The sequence below is a fragment of the Homo sapiens genome, chromosome 8 (genome assembly GCF_000001405.40).
Source record: "Homo sapiens chromosome 8, GRCh38.p14 Primary Assembly".
In the NCBI taxonomy this organism is placed as follows: domain Eukaryota; kingdom Metazoa; phylum Chordata; class Mammalia; order Primates; family Hominidae; genus Homo; species Homo sapiens.
In genome coordinates this window covers 93,389,527-93,402,743 of record NC_000008.11, presented here as the reverse complement: position 1 = coordinate 93,402,743, position 13,217 = coordinate 93,389,527, and the positions used below count along the sequence as shown (strand labels likewise).

General features: G+C 41.8%; 1 long non-coding RNA gene across 1 annotated transcript in view; it reads left to right on the top strand.

Annotated features, from left to right (window-relative positions):
• CIBAR1-DT (CIBAR1 divergent transcript) overlaps window positions 1-13,217 on the top strand; it is a 353,967-nt gene that overhangs the window by 297,690 nt on the left and 43,060 nt on the right. Inside the window, exons 8-9 of the long non-coding RNA NR_033858.1 lie at window positions 11,521-11,673; window positions 12,079-12,207. This is a non-coding gene — a long non-coding RNA (CIBAR1 divergent transcript). The remainder of the gene's footprint in view (window positions 1-11,520; window positions 11,674-12,078; window positions 12,208-13,217) is intronic.

The following is a 13,217-nucleotide window of genomic DNA, read 5'->3' as shown; positions in this document are numbered from 1 at the left end:
TAACAGAGTTGTTTGAAAACCAATAGTTTGCTCTCTCTCTTGCTTTTTTTTTAAATCTAGACCGATGCTGTCCAATGTTACTTTCTGTGATGATTAGGATGTTCTAGAAATGGTCTAGATCTGTACTGTCCAATATAGTAGCCATTAGCCATATGCACAAGTGCTTGAAATGTGATTAGTATAACTGAAGAACTGAATTTTTAATTTGATTTACATTTAATTAATTTAATAGCCAAATATCGCTAGTGGCTATTGTTTTGGGCAGCACAGATGTAGATCATCTCTGTACTTCATGAATGAATACAGAAACACCTGATGACTCCATTGCAGTGGGTGGAATGAATTATAGCTCACTCATTCTTTGTTACTGGTGGGTCCCCAGGAGTCCTGATACGTCTGTGAGTCCAAAGCCCATGCTCCTTCCACCTATGAGAATCAGAGAAGTGAATAATAACTTGCCAGATCTTTTAATGGAAAATGCTTTATTTGCTCTATTAGAGCAATGGCTGATGAAGGAAACTCTTACTTTATAAACATGGTTATACCATCTTGTTCTATCTATCCTGTGTGAGAATTCTTGTGTGACTGGCCCTGGGCACTCATTATAGTTGAAACTTTTCACAGTCTAGGTCATGCGAACACTTGTAGAAATGGATAAAAAAAAAAAAAGAGAGAGAGAGACAGCAATGTCCAGATGTACTCTTATTTGTCTTGAAGGTTTTCATCTAAGTTTTCAGAGAGAAGGTGGAGAGAAGTCATGAGGTATTAATTTAACAAGAAATTCACCTAGTCATCAAGAGCCTTTGGAAACAGGCAGGCTGGGATCTAAATCCTGACTTCTTCTCTTAACACATTTGTAAGACCCCAGTTGAACCACTTATGCTCTTTAAATGGTGAGTTATTGCAACTGAGAAATGGGAATACTAGTATCTACGTCACGGTGTTTTAGTGTGTATTTCATGGAACAATACATATTCAGGACTTAGAGTTCCCAGCATGTGGTAAGTGCTCTGTAAATGTCCACTGTCATCATTGTTTCATATGATTATTGATATCCATGGGTGATATAAGCAACAAAGTGCACAGCCATGTTGATGATTCTCTAACAACTTTCTGCATTGTGGATCCTCACTAGCCTGCAGCATCCTTTCAGTATGAAATTTGGCTGAAAGTTAGAATGAAGTTCCTCTCCACAAATTAGTCTCAACTGAGGTAAATTAAGATTCCTGGTCAGAAAGATGAGCTTCTGCCTGGTGCTCACGCTGCTTTTCGCTGTTTGGCAACTGTCTTTTCATGTTTCAAAGATGTCAAGGCTTCTTGGCAGTGGGATTAAAAAATGGTCCTTGCTGTTCCTTTCCCAAGGCTGAAGTGCTCAATACCTTAACAATGACATTAGGCAGCAGCTCCCCTAAAACACTGGTGAGGAGGCCCATGTCCCCACCCAGAGTAACTGCCTAGGTGCTGTTCAAAATAATTAGATTGGAGTTCAGGAATCATTTACTCTAAAAATATTGATTGAGCTCCTCCTACTTTCCAGACATCGTGCTGGCCACTGAGGATACAGTAATTAACAAAATAGACACAGTCTACAGCTACCCTCATTGAACTTATAGTCTAAAGATTGACTAAGCATGGGGGACATTTTGGTGCCTTGTTTGCAGAAAACTGGTCATCTTTAAACCATCACCTTCTCATTAGGACAGCACTATTGGTGAAGCCTATGGGTATGTACACAGAGTTTGAGAGAACATTATTTGATGAGATGCTGCAACTCCTCTTTTAGCTTTTTATGGTCTTCATGCAAAGCGAAAATTTCTATGTTCAAGTAAGATAATTTAATGGCTGGATTCAGGTATAATGGCATAATTCTATCCATTAGAGGAAAGAGGAAATATTATAACATATTTGAGTCCCACACATTATCAGCTAATTTTATCTAGACTTATCTATAATACTTACTACAAAATAGAATGAAAGCATTTAGCATCTAAACATTAGGAAGCAGGCTCATCAGCATGAAGTATCTCACTAGCTAGAGTAGCCATTCAAAGTATTCATTCTGCAAACATTAATACAATACCCATGTTATGCCAGACACTGACTGGAATGTGGAAGCACCAAGCCTTCTCAATTCTCAGGGAAGAGGCTGTTTTCAGTAGTTTAAGAGTAGTAGAGTTCTGTGCATTTACATGATTGCAAAACATTCTTTTAATGGAATCCTGCTTCTCATTTCTAAAAAAATATTGTGTTGGGATTGCAGCAAAAAAAATATATATCAAGGAATCAATGGGCTTACAAAATGAGTCTTTCATGTCTCATGCTGTATTCAGATTTATCTCCATCATAGGTGACTGTGGCACATGACTGTAATAATTCAAAGGGGACAAAAATGTGGAAATTTAAATTCATTTTAGTTCCTTTTACTTTAGCAGCTATTTATGGAGTCATATGCCCCACGAGGTACCATTAATAATAGCACACATTTACAGGGATTATCTGATGTCCTCTCACCACATTCTGACATAGGTACTCTTTTTGTTGCCATTTAGCAGATGAGAATATTGGGAGTCAGACTTACATTGAAATACCTGAGATTAAGCTGCTAGGAAAAGGCAGACGCGGACTGCATGCAGATGTATTTGACCTCAAAGCCCATTCTTTAAACCACCATATCTGAGAACATGATGTCAAGTTCCTTTTAGTCCCTGCAATGTTTTACCTATAGAGAGAGCTCTCAATAAATACTGACCAATTGTAAGTTTGAGGATCTGTTTCAGAGTGGGGTAGGGGAATGAGAGAGTCTAGCCTTAGTTTTAAAAACATTTTTCAGTACCTACTTGACCTGGCTGTCACCTGCCATTTCTTTATGCCTTTGAAATTCAGGTGAACTGGGTTGGAGTCAGCAGATTTTACATCCTGGTTAATACCACTTTCTACCTCAAGTTTTCTTATCCTGCCACCACACAGGTTCTGTTTCTGAGCTGTCCTGATGTAAAATTTACCCTCTGCAAGTGTCCGCAAGACACCTAACCTCACAGTATGATGTTTTTCTAGTACTTCTCTTGAAGATGTTGGGATTACATTGCATGGCTTACGATATTTTGTTGATACTTTCCCCTTCTACTGCTCCTTATCCCCACACACCTAAAACCACACACACGCTCTGAGTCTTCTAAAAGTCTAAGCTTCAGCCCCCACTGGGATACCCTCTTCTTGCAGCTTCCCCATGAAGCATCATCCGTTCTTCTCTAATTTTCTTCCATAGGAAATGTGGTGAATAAAATTCTCTACATTTTTTTACACTAATAGGTGCTTTGTGATTTTATGTACAGTTTCACGTAATGCTTGCAATTAGATGTTAGTGTTCTCATTTTATGATGAGAGAGAGAGAGAGACAAGAAAAAAAAATAGTCTTGAGTAGTTAGGACTTATCCGAGGCCAGTTGTCACTGAAGGTACTGTGTTGGGAAGCTTAGCTCCCTGCCTGGACTCTGATGATTTTTCTATTCTATCCTGCCTCCCCAGTCCAACTGAGGCATGCAGCAGAGAGGAAGAAAGGGGATTCTGTCTTAGGTAGCCAGCTCTGGCAGTGTTTCTCAATGGAATGCTGTTGACAATTTGAGTAGGATGATTTGCTGCAAGGAACTGTTCTGGGCATTGCAGGTGCCTGGAATCCCTGGCTCCTATCCACTAAGTGCTGGTAGTGTCTTCCACTCACTGTGGCAACCAATGAAGTAACCTCATGCATGTCTAAAGCTTTAAAGTATGTGGAGAAGTATAGATTATCCCTGAGATAGGTGGACTAAGTCTTTATTTCGATACTGGGGTCCTCATTTCCATATTCATAGATTAACTGGAAGGAAGTATGAATATAGCAGCCACTACTAATGTTAAAATGGCAACATGAAACAAAATGCTGAGGGAAGAGGAGAGTGGCAGTAGGAAAACTACAGTCTTTCTCTCCCCGTACTTGACACGTGGGTCCCATGGAAGGCTCAGATTGCAGTGTCCTTCTCACCCCTGGAATTAGGCTGTGGGTAGAAGCCAAGATAGAATGGAAAACAAGGCCAGGAAGGAAGTGGTGTCTTGGGAAGCAGCAGGAAAGAGGGAACCAGCATTTGTTGGTGGGGAGATGACTGGGCAAGCAGGAAGGACATCTAGATAGAGTCTTTGCTTGGTTGCAAGCAATTGTGTAATCTTGAACAGTATCCTCTTGACATGCAGAATGAGAGACTTGGATCAGGGGATGGCCAAGAGTCTTGGCCCTGTTTCTCAGTTCAGGGACTTTGAGGATCAGAAGTACTGGTTATTTTGTTTACTGATATTTCTTAATACTTTGGTTGTTGTGTACAGTTTAGTCTGTTAATGATTTCCATATTTGTCAGCTGCTTCAGCCTGAATCATTTTTATCCTTCAGGAGGAAAGAAAGTCAAAGCCCATGATTTGATTCTGCCCAGAAACCATAACCCTCAGGCTCAGGCTGGGGGCCTGTGCCTCCCTATTTATTCCTGCTGGCAAGTTGCAAGCTCTGGGTGAAGGAGATAGATGATCTTAAGTGTTTGTAGAATCAGATGTGCTCAGTGAAAACAGTCTGGCTGACTCACAACAGATTCCCAGCCCCCTTGGCTGTCCTCCAGAAATCATGTCTGGTAGGATTTCTGCAACAGATCTGATAGTTGCTGACTTAGGGAACTTGTTAGTTGCTTGTGAATTCATGGTGATGGTCCTAATTCCAGACACAAAATCCCATTGACAATAAGAGGCTAGAAATTTACAGAAAATGCATTGAAAGCTTATTTGTGAAATGTGTGTGTGTGTGTGTGTGTGTGTGTGAAAGAGAGAAAGAGAAAGAGAGAGAAAGGGAGAGGGAAAGAGAGAAGGAGAAAGAAGGGGAGGAAAAGAGAGAGGAAGAGAAAGAAATATTATGTAGATGATACAAAATAAAAATAACTTATATTGGTAGAGGCTGGATACCCTGTAAATGGAATATTTTGAAAGATGGCTACATTGGGAAAGAAGTGAGACTAGAATGATGATCTCTAATGATTTTCCTAACATAGAATATAGCCTCATAAGACATTGTTCCAAAACATAGCATGCTCTACCAAAAGGCCAGCATATAACTTTTGAAAATGAAGAGAAAGTGGGTAGGCAGACTGGAGACAGAGGAGAGTTGGTAAACTTTACCAGAATTTCCAGATTGGTTTTATTTATTTTGTGTTGCAGAACATCAGATAAACTTTTTTGGTAGATGATAAGATTACTTTAAGAACTTTTTTTCCTTTTTGAAGCATAAATGACATTTTATTTATTTGTTCAGCATGTGTTTCATAGAGCCTTACTCTATCCAGATAACAAGCACAGACTACTCTCATTTGTATGAATTTGTACATGAGTGTGTGAGGCAAAGGGTAATATGTGGAGGCAGTAGAATAGATGGGAACTGGTTATTTTAATATCTTTTGCAGATTTGCTGCTTGTTTGCAAACGACAATTCCAAAAAAGTGGAGGAAAAATAATATTAATGTCTAATAAGTGATTTGTGGGACTCGGGGCAAAATGTGCTCTTGTTCAAAACTTAGTAAGAATTTTAAGGTGACAGCATCAGAGCATTAAACCAAGCACAGCGTTCTTCCTAGTGTAGGGGCCTGTGTGACTGCACAGATCACATACTTTTGAAGCACCCCTGGTCATGGTACATGACCCTCTGAGCCTCAGTTACATCGTTCAATTGGGAATAATGCTATCAACCTTGTAGGGTAATCATAAAGAAAACTTGAAATCATGTTGTGTGACAGTGTTTATTAAGTTTATTATGTTTATCAAGCTTATTAAGGTCATATTAGGTGTTTAATAAATAATAATGTTAGAATGTAGTGATAGTAAGTTGAATTAATAGCATAAATTAGAATTTACTTGGAGGACTTACTATGCCAAGAGTGTTTTTTCTTTTATTGCTTTTGGTCGGAGGAATCATCTTGCTAAGTACTTTCACTTTTGCCCTAGATTTTTCTTTTCAAGTTAATAGACATTTATTAATTTCCTGTTCAAAGAAGTAAGAGTTTGGTCGCAGGCCACATGTGTATCATAAATCAAACCCCGGGTAGAAAATATATAAAATGTAGAGAAATGCTTGACTCACATGCTTACTCACCTTATAATATTTGCAATCATAAAAGTATCCTCTGACACTTTCAAACTGGAGAAGAATATCTTTTTCACAGAGTACCATAAACAAGCAAGGTTCCAGGTTCTGTAATATTTGTTAGAAATGCTTTAGTTGAGCTATTGAAAATAACTTTTTAAACCAAAACGAGAAAATGTATACAGCTCTTGAATATTTAACAGCTGAAATAATTTAAGCTCAAATCTCATCTTCAGACCCCAAAAGAAGCAACAATAAAAACTTTTAAGCCGTAAAGAATATTTTTATTTTATTTTATTTTATTTTGAGATGGAGGCTCGCTCTGTCACCCAGGCTGGAGTGCAGTGGCGTGACTTTGGCTCACTGCAGCCTCCTCCTCCCAGGTTCAAGCAATTCTCCTGCCTCAGCCTCCAGGGTAGCTGGGACTACAGGCACCCGCCACCACACCTGGCTAATTTTTGTATTTTTAGTAGAGATGAGGTTTTACCATGTTGGCTAGGGCTGGTCTCTAACTCCTGTCCTCAAGCGATCCACCCGCCTCAGCCTCCCAAAGTGTTGGGATTACAGACATAAGCCACCACACCCAGCCACATAAAGAACATTTCAAAAAGTTATGAGTTAATAAAAAACAGGACCATTGATTTTCTGAAAAACACTTTGACATATTTTTCTTACCTGGACCATAGAGTTGTTGAGAAGTCATAGTTACAGAGTTTGAAGGTGAAGATCTGTTATATCTTCATTTTCCTAGTGAGTTATCAGGACAATATTTCAGACAAAATAACTGAAAATCTAATATTTTATTCAAATTTATTAATAGTTAATAGAAATGGAAAGGGAATAAACCCTATGAGGTGATAGTATTTTCTTTCATTTTATTCCAAAGTCATTCCTTCTCTCCCTGTCTAGCACTTTAGTGTTTCTAGATTATCTCTTGGGTAAGAGTAGCAAATGTTTCTATGGTGTTATCACCTCTAATTAATAACGCTACTATCAAAATCTGGTCAAGAATCCATGTATCAGTCTTCTGTTCTCTGCCCAGGGAGCCCAGAGGACATATAACTCCATGAAGTGAACTCTAAGATTTTGAAGGAACTTCCTACCCAGTTCATGGGGGATCAGATGTTCCTGGTAAAATGCCGGAGGTGCTGACCTTGAACACTCTGGATGGATGCGGAATTGCTGCCCCTGTGCAGGATCAGGGCCTGTGGAACAAATCCTGTGTCTTTTATGACAGAAGTCCCCAGCCCCAGGCTGCAGACTGGTACCTGTCCATAGCTTGTTAGGAACTAAGTCACACAGCAGGAGGTGAGTGGCCAGCGAGCATTGCCACCTGAGCTCTGCCTCCTGTCAGACCTGCGGCGGTATTAGATTCTCATAGGAGCGGGAACCCTATTGTGAACTGAACATGTGAGGGATCTATGCTGTGCGCTCCTCATGAGAATTTAATGCCTGATGATCTGAGTGGAACAGTTTCACCCCGAAACCATCCCCACCACTCGGTCCATGGAAAATTGGTCATCCACAAAACCGGTCCCTGGTGCCAAAAAGGTTGGAGACTGACTGCTGCTTTAAGGGGTCAACTAAAGAAGAGCTAAGCTGGGACAGACCAAAGGACATTACATGCTCTGCTCCCCATCAGAAAGATTTCCTGTGTCTTTATGTGTCATTTCTGAGCCTAGCTCCAGGTTGTCCACTGATGCTGTCTGGGACCCCAAAGTCAATCTTCCCAGCTGGTAGTCCCTTCATTCTGTTGCCGACTTTCCCTTGAGCTCCATCAGAGTTTTGTGCCCTCTCATACCTGGCCTCACCTGCACCATTATACCTGTGGGAATTATCACCTGCTTCACATACCTGGTGATCTCTGCCTCATTCCACATCCTACTGACCTGGCCTTCCTCCACTGCTGCAGTATCTGGACATTTCCTTCCTGACTTCGGAGAACGTATTATTCCTATGCACACTTGGCATGGTGGAGTCTTCTAGAGGCCCGTTATGGGTTGGATTGTGTTCCCCTCCACGTTTGGGTGTTCTAGTTCTAATCCCTGGGGCCTCTGAATGTGACATTTCTGGAGATAGGGTCCTTGTAGAGATAACCAAGTTAACATGAGGTCACGAGGGTGGGTTCTAGTCCAATATGATTGGTGTCCTTATAAAAATGGGAAATTTAGGCTGGGTGTGGTGGCTCATGCCTGTAATCCTAGCACTTTGGGAGGCCGAGGTGGGTGGATCACCTGAGGTTAGGAGTTCAAGATCAGCCTGGTCAACATGGTGAAACCCTGTCTCTACTAAAAACACAAAAGTTAGCCAGGCATGGTGGTGCGCACCTGTAATCCCAACTTCTCGGGAGGCTGAGGCAGGAGAATCGCTTGAACCCAGGAGGTGGAGGTTGCAGTCAGCTGAGATTGCGGCATTGTACTCCAGGGCAAGAGTGAAACTCCGTCTAAAAAAAAAAGAAAAAAAAAGGGTGGGGGAGAAATTTGGATAGACTCACATACAGGGAGAAGACCTTGTGAACCTGAAGATGGCTGTCTACAAGCTAAAAAGAGAGGCCTGGAAACAGATCCTCCCCCACAGCCCTCAGAAAGAGCAGACCATGCCGACACATCAATTTTAGACTTCTAGCCTCCAAAACTGAGAGATTATAAATTTCTGTTGCTTAAGCCACTCAGTTTGTGGCACTTTGTGGCAACTTCCTTAGTAATTAAATACAGGGTCTCTTCCAACAGAGCTCTCAACTCCTTTCTTGGTTCTCCTAGAGCACTCAAAGGTTCAAAGCCCATGAGGTGACAACCACTCTTTCTATGCCTGAGAGTATGTTGCCAAGAAGGTGGGAAGGTTCACTTCCATGTCCACAAGCTCACCACTTTCTGAAATGTATTTGGTCTGCGCAGTGCAGGTCTCTCTGCTTTCCTGGGACCCACATTTCTGAAGGGGCTCCTGGAGTGATGATGTCCACATGTCTAGTTATGTGTTGAAGCTGTTTTATTCTTTGAGTACAAAGTATTCAGTTATCTCTTCAGACCAAATTTTTCTCCCTTCACTGGCTTCCTCCTAAGTGGAGTGTGTGAAAGTCAGCCAGCCCTCAAATCCCCTCCAGTGAGGACAGTTGCCAATGTCTGGCTCTGCTGCTTCATCATGGAGGGTGACAGTGGGCCAGTCATGCCATCAGGGGCGCAAATCAAATGTAGTCGATCCCTTGCAGTCAGATAAAATATTGTTTCCTCTGCCCTCCTTACAAGCAAGTGGTCAGACCATAATTACTCCTGATGGCAGGTGGCAGGTCTACATCACATCTTGACATTAGCTTTTAGCTATTTTTTTTTTTATAGCTGCCAGTGTGCTCGGTCAAATACCTGTCTGTCATCACAATCAGACAGGTCTTAATGTCTCTGCATTACAGAGGAGGACCTCGGCTCCCTTCCAGCCCGTTTATTATGGTCCCAGCATAGCATTTTATCACACATTCCTTACACATAGCCTCTTCTCTACCACCACGGAAATCTTCCAAGTTGGCAGCTTTAGTGTCTACTGCCATTAATCTTCACTAGGCTGGGATCATGGGCCAAAGGATGATTTATTGCAATTACCTGTTATAGTGCAGAGCTCAGGTGAGCTGGGCTCAGATGCATTTACTGGGCTCAGTTGCATTTACTGGGCTCCCTTATATTCTCCCACAGCCAAAGAGGAAGGCATGTCTGCCTTGTTTCTAGGTATATTTGCTTTCATTTAGCCCATCAAATGTTAGTTAATTAACAGGGAAGTGGAGAAATAGATTTAGATAGTATTAGGGTTATGTATAGACATGGTGAAGGCTGCCTGTTCAAATCCAGAACTGACACTGACATTTGACAGTCCATTTAGTTTCTTTGTTGTTTCTGCATTTTAAGAAACATCCAAAGGAAATTTGAAATTGCATTTACCTGACACTTTCTGCACCATCTGTTCCAGGTGATTAAAACCAATCTGCATATAGTGTTGTGTTTCATTTCCAATTTCTCACTCCCTGGGATGGCAGGGGGCAGTGCACGAAGTGGGGAATAATGTGTGCTCGGGTGCTGCTAGTGAGGGAGAAAACAGGGGTGATGGTAATGGAAAATAAAAGGGGAGAAGTTCTTTGCAGCAGAAATAAATATGTTCTTAAAAGTGGCCCATTGTTTTCCCATTACCAGCTCTGATGACAGCTTCTTGAATGCTCTGAGTCAAAGAGCCTCAATGCTCTCATGTCCCTGGCCTGGTGAAAAGTGGCAATTGTCAGGACAGATGAATGAAACTAAAAAGCTTTTTCGCTATTGTACCCAGGATCTGCTTCATTCTCAGGCTTTATGTAATCTGTAGAAGATACTATTTGGTGCCCTTATTATGGACGATAAACCATTTATTTCCTACTGGGTGGTCAGTTAGAGGGGGACTGGACTAAATGAGCCTTACAGGATTCTTTCTGGGTTTGTGTCCTTCTAAGACGACAGTAGAGTTAAGGAGAGAATGGCTGCTCTACAATTCCCAGCTCAGACAGATAGAGCATTAGCGTCTATCCCTACATTTTCCCACTTCGTTTTGTTCCCCCTCAACTTGGCCGTAATTCTCTGCAGGGGCTGCTGGGAATGGGGGCGCTGGAATTTTATGTAGTCCCTGCCCCAGTGCACCTTCCTCTCAGCATTGATGGACATCCATTTCCCTTGCATTCTGCTACCAATATGGGCTGCCTGGGATTTCACAGAACAGTTGATGAGGCTGCAAGGAGCCACCAGTTTGCCAGCAAGACCCAGATTTAGTGGATATCCATTCTGCTGGGTTTTCACTGGTTCTGCATCCCAGTGCAGAGATATTATCCTTCAGCATATATTTGAGACAGAAAGAGGGCCCTTTTAAAAATATGTGTTGCCAGGAATGACTGCCTGGCAAACTTGTATCACCAAACTGAAAGTCTTATGCAAGGACTTTTCTTTCACATGTTCTTGGGACATGGTAGTAGGGGAGAACAAGTTTCCATAGTTAGGGATTACTAATTAGGGATTAAGGCAAAGAAGACTGATGCTTGGAGAACTTTCCATGTTAACCATGGGGAGTGGAGGCTTAGCAAAGTTAGGTAATTTGCCTAAGATTGCACAGCTAGTAAGTAGGAAGGTCGGCACTTGACCTTCAACAATCGACAGGTTTTTACATCGACAGATGGGTTAGGTTGCTTCTAAAATGGCTCCCAGCGATCACTGCCTCCTGGTATTTATTCCCTTATGCAGTCTCCTTGTGTGTGGGTTGAAACTGGAGACTAGCTACTAATGAATAGAATATGGTGCAAGCGATAGGATATCCATTCTAAGATCAAATTATAAAAGACTGTGACCTCTGTTCCCTCCACACCCTGCTCTGATGAAGCCGGATGCCATGTTGTCAGCTGCCCTATGGAGAGACCCATGTGGGCAAGGAACTCTGGCCAACAGATGGTCTGGGTGGTCTCTGGTCCACAGCCAGGGAAGAGCTGAGCACCTCTGACCAGAGGCTTATGACAAACTGAATCCTGCCAGCAAGGTGAGCTCAGAAGCAGACCCTTTTCCACTTGAGCCTTGCGATGAGTACAGACCCACCTGACATCTCAACTATGTTGTAAGAGACCCTGAATGAGAGCATCTAACTCAGCCATGCTCAGATTTCTGGCCTGCAAAAACTGTGAGATGGTATGTGTTGCTATAGGCCATTATATTTTGGAGCATTTTGTTATACAGCTACAGTTTGTATGTGTGTTATACATATGTATAATTTATTAGATAACTAATAAAACGAGGAAACCTTAAACACACAGGAATCTTTCTCTAATTGTTTGCTATAGAGAGGGATCTGAGAAAAGACCCATTTGTCTTGGAATCCTGCAAGTAGTACTAAATGAGATCAACGAACAGGTAATAATAAAAGTATTTTAAAATCTCAATGGCACAGACACCAACCAATCCAGAAGTATCAGCCATCTCCCTATGCAGGGTGCCAGAGGACCAGGTTCTAGCCCATTCATTGCTGGATTGCGGAGGACTCCAGGTGGTCTGGGAAAAGGAGTGGAGCAACATGCAGGTACTTGTGAGGCTCAGGGAAGAGGTTGACTCCCCTGGGATGAGTCATGGGATGAATATGTTTATATTTTAACAATCTGCCTGCCCATAAGGCCTCCCTACTGGCTATCAGGCTCGGGCCAATTCCTGGAAGCTCATTTCGGGTAGCATCATCTGAATCAGAAGGCACAGACCTAAGAGGTCAGTGAGATGGTGGGGAGGTGGGAATCCATTTTTGTTCTTCCTTCTGACTTACTGAAGAGACAGTCTTGGGGCTCCAAGGCTCCAAAGACCACAACCAGCTGCCTTTCTGTGTGCTTATCAGTAAAAGTCTATTAAAAGCTCAAAGGTTTTGGAGAACATACCCTCCCACAGCTGGAAGCCCAGGTTTTGCTCTGATATCCTTTCTCCAGTTTTCATGCATTAGTGAATGTTATTCTTCAGTATGCAGGAGCCTGGGCAAAGGCAGGTCTTTTAAACATTCAGCTGCATGCTTGAACTGGGGGAAATCACAGCTGCTCCTTGCTTTTGATAATGCCAGGGAAATTGGTAAATAAATAAATAACTAGGGCCCAGGGTTCATTTACTAAATACCCCAATATGTGCAAGCAAGCCGCATCAGGCACATCAAAGGAAAATAAAAACATAATTTAGTAATAACATGGTCTCCTGCAGCCTCCTGCTTAACTCAAGTGTTAAAAGAGGTAAATCAGGGGTTTTGAAACACAATTTTATACTTAGTCTTCTTTTTCTTTCTTTCTTTTTTTAAAGAATAGGATCTGGGACAGTTTTCCTTTCTGTGAAAGGGAAGAATTTAAAAAATAATTGTTAACAATTATTCTTTACCCTTCAACTAGGGAATTTTCCCACATGCAAGAAGCATGCCATGTTTAAAGTGTTTGCAAGTATTTGAGGGACTTAAGATATTCCCCGTGTCAGAGATTGGTTTTCAGTTTGGGTGTGGCAGAAACAGTGCAGGGCCCATACCCTGACTGAAGAAATTAATCTGCAAGGAGGCAAAAAAAAAAAAAA